General features: G+C 38.9%; 1 protein-coding gene and 1 pseudogene across 4 annotated transcripts in view, besides 2 other annotated features; both read right to left on the bottom strand.

Moving 5' to 3' along the window:
• Positions 1-19,206, bottom strand: part of PPP4R2 (protein phosphatase 4 regulatory subunit 2) — a 72,456-nt gene that overhangs the window by 27,449 nt on the left and 25,801 nt on the right. The window lies entirely within an intron of this gene.
• Positions 12,474-12,974: an enhancer, noted in NCBI's record as "H3K27ac hESC enhancer chr3:73077927-73078427 (GRCh37/hg19 assembly coordinates)". NCBI's record gives its function as "activates a minimal SCP1, AML or CMV promoter by ChIP-STARR-seq in naive H9 embryonic stem cells {active_cell/tissue: H9 hESC(naive)}" and the evidence as "EXISTENCE:reporter gene assay evidence [ECO:0000049][PMID:30033119]".
• Positions 12,975-13,475: an enhancer, noted in NCBI's record as "H3K27ac hESC enhancer chr3:73077426-73077926 (GRCh37/hg19 assembly coordinates)". NCBI's record gives its function as "activates a minimal SCP1, AML or CMV promoter by ChIP-STARR-seq in naive H9 embryonic stem cells {active_cell/tissue: H9 hESC(naive)}" and the evidence as "EXISTENCE:reporter gene assay evidence [ECO:0000049][PMID:30033119]".
• Positions 13,880-13,939, bottom strand: RNU7-19P (RNA, U7 small nuclear 19 pseudogene; annotated as a pseudogene).

Here is a 19,206-nt window from a genome sequence, read left to right as displayed (position 1 = left end):
TCCAGTTCTACTAAGATTACTCTCTACTCAGCCTATCTGCATTGCACACAAAGTGTGAGGAACACTAAGAGCACAACAAAGCTCAGGAGAGTCCTACTACTATTAGCTACTCCAAAGGATAGCAAATACTGCACCATTTATAAACATCAAACGGGAATCTGAGAAGAATGAATAAATAAAATCTAATGGAGATGATCATTCATTAAAGGTGACAGGCTTAAAATACACTTAATGTTTAAAAGGCAGATATTTCAATCAGATGACTTAAAATGTCAAATAATTCAGTCTTAATTATATGACTGAGGCAAACAAAACAAGTATATTTAATCTGAATACTGAATTAAATAAGTGAAAGATCTGCAAAAGTAAGAAAACACTGAGTTGCTTACATAAAATTATGACATTTTTAAAAGGACTAATTTTAAAACACAAATTACTCTCTCTATAAATGGGGCACGAAACAAGAGATTCTTTTACATTATCATTCCACATCATATTACATCTTGTCGACTAACTGAACATTAAAATAGATCAGTGGAACAGAAGAGAGCGGAGAAGCACACCCACACATATATGAAAATCTGATATATGGTAAAGGACAGATTAGTCAGTAAACTGAAAAATATTGAGACTACTCCAAAATGTTAATAGGATTTAAAAACTAAATAATGTGTTTTTTCTGATTACATTAATAGTACAGCCATTATAAGAAATAATAAAGACATAGAAGTATGTATCCATAATCTGCAGTCAACCATCATCACTAAAGTAACATTTTAATATATTTTTCAAATTTGACATCCTAATATTCCTTTTTCCCTCCTCCTTACTCACTACGGGTATTTGCATGGGACAAACAGTCTTTGAGGGCAAGATTTTTAACTGCACCACGTATTTGTGCCATAATTTATTAATCACAGTTTAAAAAAATATTTAGGGCTGGGTGCGATGGCTCACGCCTGTAATGCAAGCACTTTCGGGGGCTGAGGCAGGCAGATCACCTGAGATCAGCAGTTCAAGACCAGCCCGGCCAACATGGTAAAATCCCACCTCTACTAAAAATACAAAAATTAGCCAGGCATGGTGGTGAGCGCCTATAATTCCAGCTACTGGAATTACAGACAGGCTGAGACAGAAGAATCGCTTGAACCCAGGAGGCAGAGGTTGCAGTGCGCCAAGGTTATGCCACTGCACTGCACTCCAGCCTGAGTGACAGAGCAAGACTGTCTCCAAAAAAAAAAAAAAAAAAATTAGGTCACATCTACTTCATTACAATTAAAAATAATTATGTAGTTATGTGATTAACAGCCTAATAATAAACCCTGTAGGCATCTATTTATCACCTGAGGATAGATTTCTGTAAGTGAAATTATTGAGTCCGAAGTATGAAGTACATACGTCAAGACTTTTGTTTCAACCTTCAGAAACTCCCCAGACACCATGTACCATACTTTGTAGTGTCATCAGTAATATAAAGCAACATGTTACATTTGAGTATGATAACCTTTCAAAAATTCTGTCAATATGCTAGTAGAGAAACAGTTTAATTTACATTTCCTTCATTGCTAGTGAAATGGAATATTTTTACCTGATTTTGACCACAAGACACTTGTTTTATGTGTTAACAGGTCCTTTGCAATCCCTCATCCCAGGGCTTCTTCAATTTTGGCACTACTGACATTTTCTTTTTTCTTTTGGAGACAGAGTTTCACTCTTGTCGCCCAGGCTGGAGTGCAATGGCGATCTCGGCTCACTACAACCTCCGCCTCCCTGGTTCAAGCAATTCTCCTGCCTCAGCCTCCTAAGTAGCTGGGATTACAGGCACCTGCCACCATGCCTGGCTAATTTTTGTATTTTTAGTAGAGACGGTGTTTCGCCATGTTGGCCAGGCTGGTCTCAAACTCCTGACACTTCAGGTGATTCGCCGCCTTGGCCTCCCAAAGTGCTGGGATTACAGACGTGAGCCACCAGGCCCGGCCACTGCTGACATTTTCAAGTTGGATAGAATTCTTTGTCACAGGAGGATGTCCTTTGTACTGGAGGATGTGGAGCTACATCCCTGGCCTCTACCCACTAGAAACCTGCAGCACACCACCCACTCCAGTTGTGACAACCATAAATGTCTCCCAACATTATCAAATGTTCCTTGGGAGTCAAAAATTGTCCCCAGTTAAGAACCATGGGCCCATTCCCCACCTCTCTAAAATTATCTGTCTTTTGCTTATTTTTGTGTTATGGAAAAGGTAAATTATGTGATACAATTATGAACAGAATTTTTGGATTCTCATTTTGTACTGACTGCTTCAAAGGTAAAAAGTATTGTTTTTGGCCAGGCATGGTGGCTCACACCTGTAATCCCTGCACTTTGGGAGGCCCAGGTGGATGGATCACTTGAGGTCAGGAGTTTGAGACCAGCCTAGCCAACATGGTGAAACCCCATTTCTACTAAAAATACAAAAATGAGCTGGCATGGTGGGGCATGCCTGTAATCCCAGCTACTCAGGAGGCTGAGGCAGGAGAATCACTTGAACCTGGGAGGCCGAGGTTGCAGTGAGCCAAGATGGCGCCACTGCACTCCAGCCTGGGCAACAAAAGCAAAACTCAGTCTCATAAAAAAAGTATTGTTTTTTATATAAATGAAATGACACTAAAATATTTCTCATGTTTCCTATTTTGAAATTATCCTTGAAGTGTTACATATTTTCTTGCTCATAAACTTCTATCTGAAGATGGCATAGTACCTGCTTTGAAACAATAAAGTTTTGACAAAAATTCTGAAGGGAAAGTATTTGCCACTGAAAGTGACAAATTTTTCAAATTAGAGTGCTAAATGGTTGTACACATAAAGGATCCAATCAGATGAAAAAGAAAGCTTCAGAAGGTAACACAAACTTTCAGACAATAGCTCAGTGTAAACCTGGGTTTCTTTCTTGGCAACTTACATATTCATGATAAGGATTCTAAAAATGCCTAAAGATTCAAATTACTACCTATTCATCCACCTCTCCCTACCAATTAAAACAAAAAGTCCAACCAACAGTATATTCCGGTTAGCCTGACTTGTGCTTAATTTTTAGCCTTTGAGCCCTTATAGAAAATGTCCCTGGCTGGGCGGATCACAAGGTCAGGATTTTGAAACCAACCTGGCCAGAATGGTGAAACCCTGTCTCTACTAAAAATACAAAAATTAGCCAGGCTTGGTGGCACGCACCTGTAGTCCCAGCTACTCAGGAGTCTGAGGCAGGAGAATTGCTTGAACCTGGGAGGTGGAGGTTGCTGTGAGCCAAGATCATGCCACTGCACTCCAGCCTGGGTGACACTGCACTCCACTGGGTGACAGAGTGAGACTCCATCTCCAAAAAAAAAGAAAAAACAAAAAGAAAAAAAAATGTCCCTAGAATCTATTACTATACCAACATAGACTCCTCCCTTCTATGTCAGTGCTGTACCAAAGATGACTCTTCTAACAGCACGGCTCACAATGACCACAGCCAACAAAGAGATGTTGAGTTTTTTAACTTGTACTAGCTTAATGGCTGAAGTGGATCTACCTTCCTCCCTGAAACTAGAGTGTCACTTTTCTCACCACTTTTGCTCCTGCTTTTTACCACCCCCTCTACAATCTAGTTGATAACCAATTCCAATCTGCCATCAAAAGGGACTGATCTATCCCTTCACCCCCACATGTGTCAGACAGGACCGGGTTGGTAGGACCTGGGCCCTTTTTTTCATTCTACCAACTCAGCCCTAACATGAAGGTCAACAGCAGTTAGCAAGTCCTGAAGAAATATGTAACAATCCTTGACTAACAAAATTACTTTGTTACTGCCAGCAGGTGTGCTTAAAACAATAAAACAAAATTCATTTGGAAAACCAGACTTACAGATATTAAATAGAAAATAAAACATCATAAACACTTAATTGCCGAGATTTCAGTGATGGTACAAGAGAACCTAAAGATCACAGTGTAGGTTTAGGGCTCAACAAGGAAGGGCCTCAGGACAAAGTTGGAACTTTAAGCTGAACCTTACAGAAAAAGGAATTGGAAATATATTGACTAAAGTAAAGCCAAGAAGCAGGTGTTTAATATAAACAATAAATGAGTTTCTCAAACTCAGCACTATGGACATCTTGAGCCAAAGGGTTTTAGCTTGTGATGTGCTGCTGTCTGTGTGCACTGTAGGATATTTGCATCCCTGACCTCTATCTAGCAGCAATCCTCACTCCAAGTGGTAAAAAAAAGTCTCTAGTCATTGCCAAATGAACCATGGGAGGGAAGTGGTTCCTGGTGGAGAACACTGCAATACACAATCCCTTTTGTTAACATCTTAACTGGTTACCTTAAAATAATAAGGCTGGGGAAATCAGAACTGCCAAGATCAAAGTCACAAAATTTGAGGAATAAGATTTGTAGCACATGTATATACATCTTTTTAAAGAAAGAGGGAAAGAGAAATCTAAATAATCTAAACCTAATATACAGATGATTCATTTAAAAAAATATACTCATTAGCATTAAAATCTCATGAATCACTTTCAGTTGTACAGGACAATGTGCTATGAAGATCTAATCTAGAATTTTTTTCTTGGGTGTAGTCGTCTGTGTATTAAGTGGAGGGGGAAAAAAAATCCCCCTTCTATCCAACCCAAAGACCAATCCATGTGATATACAGCAAAGAAGACAATAATCATTTCATTTTTAAATTTAGGGAGACTGAAAGACATATGTAAATGATTAAAGCTTAAAATATCTGTTACTGAAATATAAAAATGAGTTAGCACTGCCACAAGTGGTGAGAGATTACTGTATATTTTAATACAAAGGTTTTATCCTGAAGAATCTTGAGTTTGACAGTAAAACAAAAGTATCTTAACAATGTCTGCTATGTTAGCTAATATTTTGGTATTCGTTTATTTTGTGTAATTTTATATACAGATTACTTTCACTGCTACTTTAAAGTATATCCCAGAGTTATGTGCTACTTTAAAAATGCCAATCACGTAAGTAATAATTATCTGGAATGCATCTGGAATGTATCTCATACTTTCAAAAAAAGAAGAAAAAAATCATTAAAAGCAAAGTACCTATCACAAGAACAATTTGTACTTTGGTTTAAGGACTGAATACATGGAAAATGAACATGTCAACGCTACTAAATGAATTAACGCTTCCTGGGAATCTCCATTTACATATGACAAAACTAAAAAGATAAACTGGAAATTTGTACTGATACATAATTATACATATTTATGGGATACATGTGATACTTTTCATACATGTTTGCAACGTGTATTGGTCAAATCGATATTTGGGCTATCCATTTCAAACATTTATCATTTGTGCTGGGAACATTTCAAATCTTCTCTAGCTATTTTGAAATATACAATAAATTGTTAACTATAGTCATCCTACTGTGCTATCAAATACTAAAACTTATTCCTTTTATCTGACTGTACTTTTGTACCCAGTAACCAATTTCTATTCATTCCTGGCCCCCCACCCTTCTCAGCCTCTGATAACCCTCATTCTACTCTCTACCTCCGTTAAGATCAACTTTTTTAGCTCCAACATAATGCATGAGAACATGTGATATTTGTCTTTCTGTGCCTGGCTTATTTCACTTAACATAATGACCTCCAGTTCCATCCACATTGGTGCAAAGGATGGGACTTCATTCATTCTTTTTATATCTGAATTGGACTGTATTTCACTGTGTGTGTGCGTATATATACACCATTTTCTTTATCCATGCATCCATTTGTAGATACTTAGATTGATTCTCTATCTTGGCTACTGTAAATAATGCTGCAATAAATATTAAAGTGCAGGTATTGGCCGGGCGCAGTGGCTCATGCCTGTAATCCCAGCACTTTGGGAGGCAGAGGTGGGCGGATCAGGAGTTCAAGACCAGCCTGGCCAACATGGTGAAAGCCCGTCTCTACTAAAAATATAAAAATTAGCCAGGCGTTGTGGTGTGTGCCTGTAGTCCCAGCTACTTGGGGAGGCCGAAGCAGGAGAATCACTTGAACTCAGGAGGCAGAGGTTGCAGTGAGCCGAGATTGTGCCACTGCACTCCAGCCTGGGCAACAGAGCGAAACTCCATCTCAAAAATGGAAAAAAAAAGAAAGTGCAGGTATCTCTTTGACACACTGATTTCTTTTCTTTTGGACATTTATCCAGCAGTGGGGATTGCTAGGTCAGATGGTAGACCTATTTTTAGGTTTCTGAGGAATCTCTACACTGTTTCCCATAGTGGCTGTACCAATCTACATTTCCACTAGCAGTGTACTAGTGTTTCCCTTTTTCTGCACCCTTGCCAGAATCTGCCATTTCTTTTTCTTTCCTTTTTTAGACAGGGTCTCACTCTGTCACCCAGGCTGGAGTGCAGTGATGCAATCTCACCTCACTGCAACCTCTGCCTCCTCGGCTCAAGTGATGCTCCCACCTCAGCTTCCCGAGTAGCTGGGACTACAGGTGTGTGCCACCATGCCTGGCTTGTCTTTTTGATAATGGTCATTTAACTGGGGTGTATAACATCTCATCGTGGTTGCGATTTACATTTTCCTGATGATTACTAATGTTGAACATATTTTCACATACCTGTATGTCTTCTGAAAATGTTCAGATAATTAGCCCATTTTAATTGGATAATTTGGTGTTTTTGCTTTTGAGTTGAATTCCTTACATATTCTAGTTATTAATCCCTTGTCAGAAAGATAGTTGGCAAATATTTTCTCCCATTTCATTTTCTTCACTCTACTGACTCTTCCCTTGTGCGGAAGCTTTTTAGCTTGATGTAATCCCATTCATCTGTTTTTGCTTTCGTTCCCTGTGCTTTTGAGGTCTCACCTACCTTTGCCCAGACCAATGATCTGAACTGTTGGAAATGTTTTTTTTTTTTTAAGAACAAAACTAGGGCCAGGCAGAGTAGCCAATGCCTGTAACCCCAACACTTTGGAAGGCTGAGGCAGGAAGACTGCTTGAGCCCAGGAGTTTGAGTCCAGCCTGGGCAACATAGCGAGATCCCATCTCTACAAAAAATTTAAAAATTATCCAGGCATGGTGGCATGTACCTATAATCCTAGCTACCTGGGAGGCTGAGGTAGGAGGATTGCTTGAACCCAGAAGTTCAAGGCTGCAGTGAGCTATGACTGTGCCACTGCACTGCAGCCTGGGCAAAAGAGGAACAGTCTCTAAAAAACAAAACAAAACTATAGCTTGCTGCAGTCTCATCCCTCCAAAAGAAGTTATTCAAAAAGCACTACTCATAGTTATCAAATGGAGCTAGGATTCTTGAAGACTAAGAAATTGGAGGAAAATATGTGTCCACTAACTGGTAGGAATCTCCATAGCCTGAGTAATAATAGTCAGCAAGTGTTCTGCGTTACCTGGAAAATTCTACACACACAAAAACTATAGATTTGGAGGGAAGAGGAGGAGTTAAAATAAAACAAAACTACTAACTCAATGATGGCACCATTTAACACTCTTTTTTAAAGGTGCATTGTTTAAAGACATTTATAAAAAGGAGGGAAGTAATCAGAAAACTGTAATAGTAGTACAAGAGGTTCAAAGTCTAAATGACCAGTTTAAAAAGAAAAAAATACACACACCCACACACAGAAAAGTGGAGAAGAAACCAATGATTATTTTAAATCAAAAACATTTTCTAAAATGAAAAATAACAAGCACTGGTGAGGATATGGAGAAACTGGGACCAATGGGCACTGCTGATGGGAACGTAAAATGGCGCGGCCATTGTGGAATACAGTTCCTCGAAAAGTTAAACACAGAACTACCGTATGATCCAGCAATTCTACTTCTAGGTGTATACCCAAAAGAAGTAAAAGTACAGACTTAGACACTCGCACACCAACATTCACGGCAGTGTTATTCACAATGGCTAAAAGGTGAAAACAACCCTGAACCCTGAAAGCATTACGTGAAGTAAAATAAGCCAGACACGAAATATTTTATAATGTCACTTAAGTGAGGTACCTAAAATCCATCAAACTCAAAGACACAAAAGCTAGACAGGGATTGGAAGGAAGGAGGAATGGTCATTATTGTTTAATGGGTACAGAATTTATATTTGGGACAATAAAAAGGTTCTGGAAATGAATAATGATGATGGCTCTACAACACTGTGAATGTACTTAATGCCACTGAACTGTACATTTAGCAACGGTTAAAAAGTGGTAAATTTCATTTTATGCATGTTTTGCCTCAACCAAGCAATCCATAAATAATTCCCAGAATTAAAAAATACTAGTTTTCAAATTAAGAGAACTCACAAGAGTTGCTGAAGAGTGACCAACACAAGAGTTGACAAATAGTCTCACAGCAAAGCACACTGCAGTAAAACTGTGTAATTCTGGAATCAAAGAGAAGATTCTACAAAACTCCAGGGACATAAACCAGGTCACATACAAAGAGGGCTCCAGATTTATCAACAGGTGTCAAAGAAAGCAATGAAAAAATTCCTTCAAAATTCAGAGAGACAATAATTTTCAACCTAGAATAACCAGACTATCAAATAAGTAGGTAGAATAAACACATTTTCAGACACTAAAAGTACAAAACAAAAAAAATTGTTATTGTGCCTCCTCTCATTCCACCAAAACAATGATGTAAACCAAGAAAGAGCATGATATGGTATCTAGAATACTGAGACTCCAACACAAAAAGTTAATTACAGGATGATAAAAATGGGTCTCCCACCGTAAGATGGTAGAATTTCCATTTTCATCATAACTTGGTAGGATTCAGGCAGGTCTAGAGAGCAACCAGTCCAGAATGGAGCAGTTAAGAAGGCTCAACAAGAGATTTTTTTTAAAACATGAAATTGATATATAAACAACTAAAATTTGGGGTTGAATTAGTCATAAGCATACAGAAAATTAAATGAAAAAAATAGCATTAACAGAGACAACGTATATATTGAATGCTAATGTGACCAAAATTTCAATGTAATTATACTGGAAAAAATGAGCAGTTAAAGTGGGAAGTTTGTGTGCATGCTTGGAGAAGGAGTACGTAAAAGAAACTAAATCTTAACTTTCATTACTAAGAAATCAGACATTAAGGGAAAAAGTAACTAGACTGTAAAATTAAGAGAAAAAGTAACTAGTAAAAAGACTGTACCTTAGAAATAGGAAGGTAGGCTGGGCACGGTGGCTCACGCCTGTAATCCCAGCACTTTGGGAGGCCAGGGCGGGCAGATCACAAGGTCAGGAAATCAAGACCATCCTGGCCAACATGGTAAAACCCCGCCTCTACTAAAAATACAAAAATTAGCTGGGCATGGTGGTGCCTGCCTGTAATCTCAGCTACTCAGGAGGCTGAGGCAGGAGAATCGCTTGAACCAGGGAGTTGGAGGTTGCAATGAGCCGAGATCATGCTACTCTACTGCACTCCAGCCTGGCAGCAGAGCGAGACTCCGTCTCAAAAAAAAAAAAAGAAATAATTTTAAAGCAGTTTTACTTGTAGCTCAAAAAATAAAAAACAAAGAAAATTTAAAGTGGGTGTCTCTCAGGAGAAAAAGAAATAAAAGAAAGTACACAGACTTTTTTGTGACCTTTATCGTATTAATAAATTCACTAATGTGTGTGCATATAACTTTAATAAAAGTAAAAACTAAATAATAAAAAAAATCAATTTAAAAAGAGTCAGGTGGTGCTCTGGAGTCTGGAAGCCTGACCAGGTATTTCAAACACTTTCTCATTTGTAGGGCCTAAGGCAGATAACCCTAGCCTCTCTGTTTCCCCCATCTGTGAAACAGGGATAATAATATTTAGTTCTGTTGCTGTAAGGGTTAACATTAGTGTAAGCAAAGTGCTTAGCAAAATGGCTGACACCTAGTAAGCACCCAATGGTCGTTATTCCTCAAGAAACTCAGGATGGGGAGAACATCTGAGTAATACAGTAGATATATGCAGACAGCTTTGGGTATGAGGGTAGTGTTCTGAGATGGCATTAAGTAAGGAAGACTGCAACAGTGAGAAAGACCTGTGTTAGACCACAGTAAGATGCTTGGGCTTATATTGGCATTCTCTCTGGCCTAGAAATACTTCTAAAGGCACTTTAAATATCCTCTTTCATCAGAGAGGATAAAGTCTCCACCCAACGTTGCTTTTCCACCCATCACAAAACTGCTTGTTTTTTAAAAATAAATGAAATATTTCTTTCTTTTTTTCTTTTCTTTTTTGAGACACAGTTTCACTCTGTTGCCCAGGGTGGAGTGCCATGACACAATCTCGGCTCACTACAACCTCCACCTCCTGGTTCAAGTGGTTCTCCTGCCTCAGCCTCCCGAGTAGCTGGGATTACAGGTGCATGCCACCATGTCCAGCTAATTCTTTTTGTATTATTAGCAGAGACAGGGTTTCACCATGTTGGCCAGGCTGGTCTCGAACTCCTGGCCTCAGGTGATCCACCTGCCTTGGCCTCCCAAAGTGCCGGGATTACAAGCGTGAACCACCGCGCCCAGCCATAAAAATAAATGAAATATGTCAACTAACAGAAAAGTATAGAGAAGAGGTGTATCACTTAGCTTTGTCAAACCTTAGCTACATTTTTATAGTTCTTGATGAGCTAAAAGACATTTACATATGTTATACTTACTCCAAAAATTTTGACTCCACCAGGATTTCCTATCCATTGATTCTATTACCTTTTTACTGTCCCTCAACCCTCTGACAACCTCTCTCCCTTCATTACCCAGCTTCAACTGTAAAAATTATAATCTGGCCCAGTGCGGTGGCTCACACATGTAACCCCAGCATTTTGGGAGGCCGAGGCGGGCAGATCACCTGAGCTCAGGAGTTCGAGACCAGCCTGCTCAACATGGTGAAACCCCGTCTCTACTAAAAATACAAAAATTAGCCAGGCATGGTGGCGCGTGCTTGTAATCCCAGCTACTCAGGAGGCTGAGGCAGGATAATTGCTTGAATCCGGGAGGCGTAGGATGCAGTGACTGAGATCACGCCACTGCACTCCGGCCTGGGCAACAGAGTGAGACTCCATCTCAAAAAAAGAAAAAAAGAGGAAAGAGAAAAAAAAATATAATCACTCCCTCAGATATAGTTGGTTCTCTAGCCCTTCTCTGGCTTCACTGTAATTAAAAAAAAAAAAAAATCAACGTAATCCCCACCAAATCTGTGCCTACATAGGGAAGAAAGCAAAGACAAAGAAAAATCCACAACCATGCTGGCTGATCTTGAGTACGCTACAAATGCTACCAGACATTATCCCCAGTCTATTTCATTCTCTGACTCTCCCAGTAACTATTTCATATCTTCTCACCTCAACCCTACATTGAGTTTTCCCTCCCTCACACTCAATGACCTTGCTTCTTGTTGCACTTATAAAACTGAAAACAATAGGGAATTTCCAGGGTCCCACCAGTTACCTACTGTCATGTACATGTACACACCCTGAACTCCCACCTGTTATCATAGATGGAACTATCCATGCTCTGGTCTATTTATATACCACATTTGCCATTTGATCACCTACTCAAGAGCATCACTTGAGCAATTCTCCCCTTTCTCCTATCATCTACATCAACTTTTTATTTGCTAATAATGGATCATTCCCACCAGCATACAAATATAAATACACTGATATTTCTCCCTTTTAAAATTTATTCTTTATTCCACTTACCCTCCCAGTTCCAATACCATTTAAAAATTTGCTGTGCTTTGTAATAAAAGTCCTTAAAACAGCTGTCTCCCTCCCATTATCTCTCAAATCTACTCCAAGCTTTCTGTCCCACCACTAAACCTAATCTGCATTTATCAAGATCACCAACGAACTCCAATTGCTAAATCCACTGGTTAGTGGACAATTTTCTTAAATGTCTCACTAACAATATTTTACAGTTGATCACTCCTCCTTAATTACTTTCCTGGGTTTCCTTTTATCTTTCTTGTTCATTTTCCTTTTCTGGTTTCCCAAACTGCTTAATGCTGGAGCACTCACAATTCAGTCTCTCTTTTCTATCTACACTTGGTGATCTCATCCAGTCTGGAGTTTTTAATACTATCTGCATGCCAATTTTATCAGGATGACTCCTGATCCCCAATCATCCACCCAACCATTTGGCCAAGTAATATTTGGCATGTCCAAAACTGAACTTCTGATCTTTCCCACATATTGCTCCTCCTACAGCCTTTCACCTCTCAGATGTGATGAAATTCCACACTTCGGATGCTCAGACAAACTCCTGAGTCACTACTGACTCCTTTCTTTCTTTTTCACATCACACTCTATCTTGCCTGGAAATCCTGTTGGTTGTACCTTCAAAATACATACACAATGTGACTAATTCTTAACACCTCCTGCTACCACTTAATTCAAACCACAAACATCTCTTAGCCTGATTTCAATACCCCTGCCTCTAGCTTACTTTACCTCAAATATATTTTCAGCACAGCCATTCATTGGACAATTCTTTTAATGCTTAAGTCTGATAGTGTCACTTCTCTGCTCAAAACTCTGTAATACTAGCCAGGCGAAGTGGCTCACGCCTGTAATCCCAACACTTTGGGAGGACAAGGTGGGAGGATTGTTTGCATCCAGGGGTTCAAAACCAGCCTGGGCAACAAGATCCTGTCTCTACAAAAAAATTAAAAATTTGCCAGGCATGGCGGTGCAAGCCTGTAGTCTCAGCTACTCAGGAGACTGAGGAAGGAGGACTGCTTGAGCCCAGGAGTTCGAGGCTGCAGTGAGCCATGATCACATCACTGCACTCACACTGCATGACAGAGTGAGACTGTCTCAAAAAAACAACAACAAAAAACTGCGACGGCTCTGGATTTCACTCAAAGGCCAAAGCCTTTACAGTGCTCCACATTGCCCTACATTATATTTCCCCCATTCCCTTTACCTCCTCCTCTCCTTGATCAGTCTACTTCAGCCACAGTGGCCTCCTTGTTAGTCTGTGAAAGGGCTAGACACACTAGTCCTACTTAAGGCTTTTGCACTGAAAGATTCTTCTACCTTGGCCGGGCGCAGTGGCTCACAAAAGTGCCTGTAATCCCAGCACTTTGGGAGGCCTAGGCGGGCGGATCACGAGGTCAGGAGATCAAACCATCCTGGTCAACATGGTGAAACTCCGTCTCTACCAAAAATACAACAATTAGCTGGGCATGGTGGCGCGCATCTGTAGTCCCAGCTACTCGGGAGGCTGAGGCAGGGGAATTGCTTGAAACCAGGAGGCACAGATTGCACCACTGCACTCGAGCCTGGTGGAAGAGCGAGACTCCATCTCAAAAACAAAAAAAGTCTTCTACCTGGATTTATCTTCTATATATTGCACGGCTGACTCCCTTATTCTTGGGCCTCGATCAAATGTCACCTTCTAAATGAGACTTCCCCTGACCATCTTATTTAAAATTCCAACTACCTGGGCCAGGCATGGTGGCTCACACCTGTAATCCCAGCCTTTGGGAGGCTGAGTAAGACCCCGTCTTTTTTTTTTTTTTTTTTTGAGACGGAGTCTTGCTCTGACACCCAGGCTGGAATATGGTGGTGTGATCTCAGCTCACTGCAACCTCCACCTCCTGGGTTCAAGCTATTCTCCTGCCTCAGCTTCCTGAGTAGCTAGGATGACAGGCGTGTGCCACCACGCCTGGCTAATTTTTGTATTTTTAGTAGAGATGAGGTTTCACCATGTTGGCCAGGCTGGTCTCAAACTCCTGACCTCAGGTGATCCACCTGCCTCAGCCTCCTAAAGTGCTGGAATTAGAGGCGTGACTCACTAGTGCCCAGCCCACCCCGTCTCTTAAAAAAAAAAAAAAAATCCAACTACCTATTCACTCATAAAAAAAAAAAAAAGTTTTTTTTAACATGGGAGTTTGAGGGGAGCGGTGGGGAGGCTTTCTGGTAAAGACCTCCCAGAAAGCCTACTAGACAAATTCTAAAAGAGCTGTAACATTCTCCACTCTTAACCCTCATTTCCCTTACCCTTTTTCTTATTTTTGCATTGCCCTTACTATCCAGTAACATAATATATAATTTATTTATCTACTGTCTGCTCACATATTTATTCACACACACAAACACACACACACACACACACACACACCTCACAAGTACCAAGAATTTATTCATATATATAAAACAAATACAAAGTCTGGCAAATAGTAGGCACTCAATAATTATCTGGTGATTGAATAAATGAATATCCTGAAGCCCACTCTGTGGGAATAATGTCTACAAACCATCTACAGTAGAAAAAACAAATCAGGTAGAAAAAATGCCACCTTCCAAGCAGATCTGGGAATTATGTGTAGAACTGCTTTGGCAATTAATAGGGGAATAGCTGGGAGCGGGGCTCACGCCTGTAATCCCAGCACTTTAGGAGGCCAAGGCTGGCGGATCATGAGGTCAGGAGATTGAGATCACCCTGGCCAACATGGTGAAACCCCGTCTCTACTAAAATGCAAAAAATTAGCCAGGCAATGGTGGCGCACGCCTGTAGTCCCAGCTACTTGGGAGGCTGAGGCAGGGGAAGAGCTTCAACCTGGGAGGTGGAGGTTCAGTGAGCTGAGATCATGCCACTGCACACCAACCTGGTGACAGAGCAAGACTCTGTCTCAAAAACAAAAAAACAGGGGAATAGATTCATATTTGAACTGTAATGCATAATAAAAATAGCAAGCACATACATAATCACAAATGCCAGGTACTGTTCTAAGCACTTTGGACATATTAACTCAATCTTCAGAAGCATATGTATGAGTTGGGTGGTACTACTCTCCGCATTTTATTATCAATAAGACAACTTCGAAACAGGTTAAATAAACTGCCCATAATTGCACAGGTAATAAGTAACAGGGCTGGGATTTCAACCCAGGCTTTATGGCTTCAGAATCCATACTCTAATTACATCATGACATCTAGTTACAGGAACAGTATAGGCCAGGATTGTCCAATGTTTTGGCTTCCCTGGGTCACACTGGAAGAGAAATTGTCTTAGGCTGCACATAAAATACACTAACACTAACACTAATGATAGCTGATGTGCTTTTTTTAAAAAAAAATCGCAAAAATCTCATAATGTTTCAAGAAAGTTTATGAATTTGTGTTGGGTCACATTCAAAGCTGCCCTGGGCTGCATGCAGCCTGCGGGCTGTATAAGCTCGGTATAGGCCAAAAAACATTTAATGCAAATATGCATCCCTAAGCTATTATGTGGTAAGAAAAGATATATAAAGAATTTAGTTGTCCTCAGGGAACTCACTCTAAACAAAAAATAATGGCACGGCAAATTTTATATATGATGATAGAAGTGGGCTGAGTCACATCTAATTCAGGGTCAATGGAGGTTTTCTAGAAGAGATGACCCCTTGCATGTATCTTTTAAAATGAGCACAAAGTCAAGAGCAACACAGAAGAGGGAGAAAAAATGTACACAAAGGAAAAGTAAGGTCTTTGTTCCAGCAAAGGGAACAATATGTACAAAGTCACTGGGACGAGGCAGTACGAATTTACTAGAGAATTGAGTAATTTAGGAGAAAAGAAAAACACAGGGAACAAATAGAAAAATATCAAATTAAATAGAGCTACAATTATTTATTTATGCCTTAAATCTCATAAGAACTTTAACTTGAGCAAGGGAGAAGGTGCAGAAAGATTTTAATCATGGGAATAACATACTTATATTGTAGCATGACTACTACTAATAGCATATATTAGACAAGACTAGAAAGGGCAAGCAAAATCAAGTTAGGAAACCTATAAAAACCCAGGCAAGGTGAGAATGATGAACAGATATTATCTACAGATCCATAACCTAATGTTGTCTGTGAACCCTCATGTTCATTCCCACTAATGCTGCACCATTACAAATTCTCATCTCCTCTAGCTTAAATACCATAATCATCTCCTGAGTGATTTCCCTAATTCCTTTGAATTAGACTCAATTTCTCCAAGGCAAAGCTCTGATTTATCTTTTCTCTGCTCAAAAGCCTTCATTAATTTCTAATGTCTTTCTAAAGCCAAAATTCTATGCATTAGCAAGACCCTTTCTAATCTATCCTAATTCTTCCTCCACAGCTCTGAACTTTACTATTCCTTTGCTCACTGTTCCCTCTGCCCAGACTAAGTTGAAATGCCTCCTTGCACCATGATGCACTGCTAAATATTCCTTGTCAGAAATAAACTTTTTAAGTTACTGCTCCCAAAGCACTTTGTTTATAACTTCCTTAAAGCAACTATTATATTCTTCCCCAGACCATAATCACCAGTTCTACGTCTTTTTTTCCTTATAAAGATGAGGTTCCATGATACTAGGCTAACAGAAGCTACAGTATCAAGAAATATAAGCATTTCAACAATTCAAAGATCTTAGTAAGAACAATAAACGTCTCACAATAATAGAACAAGGGTCAGTGCTAAATTTATCTGGACCCTTAAAGGTCAGAAGGTGATTCCCACTGACACAGTAAGTTGCCATTATAACCTTCACAACAGTTTTAAGATAATAATTTTAACATATTTTACCAATATGATGAATTGCAGGTACTGTATACACATATATGCTGGTTATAGCACATACTAATGAGTCAGCTCCCCAGCTCATGGTTCCCATTTTCTTTAAAAGGTACTGAATACACAAGGATGGGCCTCCAGTAGCCAGCTCTGTTTCTCTCATCACCCCACCTGACCAGGGCCAGGCCAATCAGATTATTTTCCTCCAAAAATGTGAAATATGGAAGACACCAAGACTGGAACTCAGTCCTTTGCTAGAACCTGAAGAACAAGTCTAACAACTTCTGCTGCTGAGGTCCCTGGGCTCCATCCTCATACCCTTTGGCTTGGTAGTGTAGCTCAACCCTTGTTTCTAAGTGTTATTTCAATATCCTTCTAATAAATATTTCTTTCCCTTCTTTTCTAGTTTTCTTTTGGGCTTACGTGAACCACAATCAGTTGTGCTGCTTGGAAGCAAAAATTTTTAAATGAATTTGATGCTTTCAAAAAGCCAAGTATTATTTTGGGACTAAATCTTAAATGCTTTAGCTTAAAAGCAGAAATCTGAGCTGTGAAGAAAAAAACAAAGGGAAAGGAAAGGAAAGGAGAAGGAGGGAGGGAGGCAGGAAGGAAGGAGAGAGAAAAGAAACTCCTTTGGGCTTTCAAATTATAATTTAGAAGTTTATTTACCATTTAATATTTAAAATGCTGTGAGACTACTAAATTAATTCAAATCTGGGTGGACATTCCCAAATGAACCATTTAAAACACTGAGTCCAGCAGACTACCCAACACCTTAAGATCCACCAAAATATTCAGAGAATTTAGGTTTTAGTTTGGTTCTCCGCAGGTAACCCTACAGAATGTACAAGATCCTCTATGTTGTTATACACATTGACAATCCTCCTAAGACAGATCACTACCAATAAAGTAACTTTATTGCTATTTTCCTTTCTTCCTAGAAATTTATCCCTTGATTTTAGTTTGATAAATTTTCCTTTCTACCCTTGATTATAAATTGGTGAATTTTACCTTTTTCCAATATAAGTATCATAGATCTTCAAAATATATAAATGTTCCTGCATCAGACCCAAACACTGATTTTCCTACATTAGAAATTAGATCTGAATTTATTATGTATATATTTATGAATTTAAGTTTCTAGTCTGAAAAAGGCTGTTCATTTCAGCCAATCATATCTATAAAATCTATTTTATTTTTAATATAAGCTTTTTACCTTTTAAAAGTATTAAAAAGGTAAATGCTTAGTGAAAATACAAATTAAGAAAAATTAAGCTACTAATGATGAAACTTTGTAATTCAGAAACAAAAACATTCAAACTGAATATCAAAAAGCAAAGGTAATCCAAATTATTCTTTTAAGTGGCTTCTGGCATTTCTCTTCCAAGTATATTATACCTGAAAAATCTGAATTTAATTCCTTAACATACAAAGGTTTGCTCAAGTATACTTTCATTTTTCACGGTGACTTTTTAAAAAGCAACTTACTAAATGGTCCACTTCCATTTTTTATTTTACTGAATGCACATAAATATTAAGTATATTCTAAATTAATATGCTATATTACATCGGATAGAAATGGAGGGACTGTCATGTCTTCCTTTGATGAACTACTGCACTGTTTAAATTGTTTTAAACAAGGTTTCCTACTTTTGTAATAAAAAACATATTTTAAATATGCAGCTGTGTTTTTTAACACCTTATGCCTCATCTCAATACCAAATTCAGTGATTTTTAAAAAGGGCACATTAAAGAAATCTTATTCTGGCCAGGCACTGTGGCTCATGCCTCTAATCCCAGCACTTTGTGAGGCCAAGGCGGGTGGATCACCTGAGGTCAGCAGTTCCAGGCCAGCCTGACCAACATGGAGAAACCCTGTCTCTACTAAAAATACAAAATTAGCCAGGCATGGTGGCGCATGCCCGTAATCTGAGCTACTCGGGAGGCTGAGGCAGAATTGCTTGAACCCAGGAGGCAGAGGTTGCAGTGAGCAGAGGTTGAGATCGCGCCATTGCACTCCAGTCAGGGCAACAAGAGCGAAATTCCATCTCAAAAAAAAAACAAAAAAAAGGAAAAGAAAAGAAACCTCACTCCATAATGATTCCATAATTTAAAGTTTTTGTATTGTTCCATTAACAATTTTAAAAAGGCAAAATCTCTTAAACAGTCACAAAGTAAGGATGCAATTTTACCCACAAATCCTCATAATGATCTGAACTTCTGAGCAAACAATACCAACTAAATATAAAAGCAACATACTAAACTGTCTCTTAAAACATTTTCTTACCTGAAACACACCATTATTTAAATCAGCCTATTTACACTGAATACTCAGAAGTCTTTCCTTCAAGAGTGAATGTCTCTTCCAAGTTGCTTGTACTATCCAATATCCTAAGGCTTCCAAGAGTTATTAATATTGTATCCATTAAATATAAGTCAGCATCAACTGTAAGACTGCATTGTTTAAAAAAAAAAAAAAAAAAGAAATGCGGCAAGCTGCAATTCTAGGTCGCTATTGATGTTTCAAAGACTTTCCAATTTCAGAGATATTAAAATGTGGAGAAAAACATAATGATGATATTTATTGACGTTCTTAAACTTGGTAGCAAAGATATTATAGGATTAAACTTCATTTTACTGAAGTTTGTAATTGTGTCAAAATCTTTGGAATTTACATATGTAACAGAAAAAATTCTAAAGGAAAAAAT

This window comes from Homo sapiens, chromosome 3 (genome assembly GCF_000001405.40).
Source record: "Homo sapiens chromosome 3, GRCh38.p14 Primary Assembly".
Classification (NCBI taxonomy): Eukaryota; Metazoa; Chordata; class Mammalia; order Primates; family Hominidae; genus Homo; species Homo sapiens.
The sequence above is the reverse complement of the archived record's forward strand: the minus strand, read 5'-3'. Positions and strand labels throughout refer to the sequence as shown.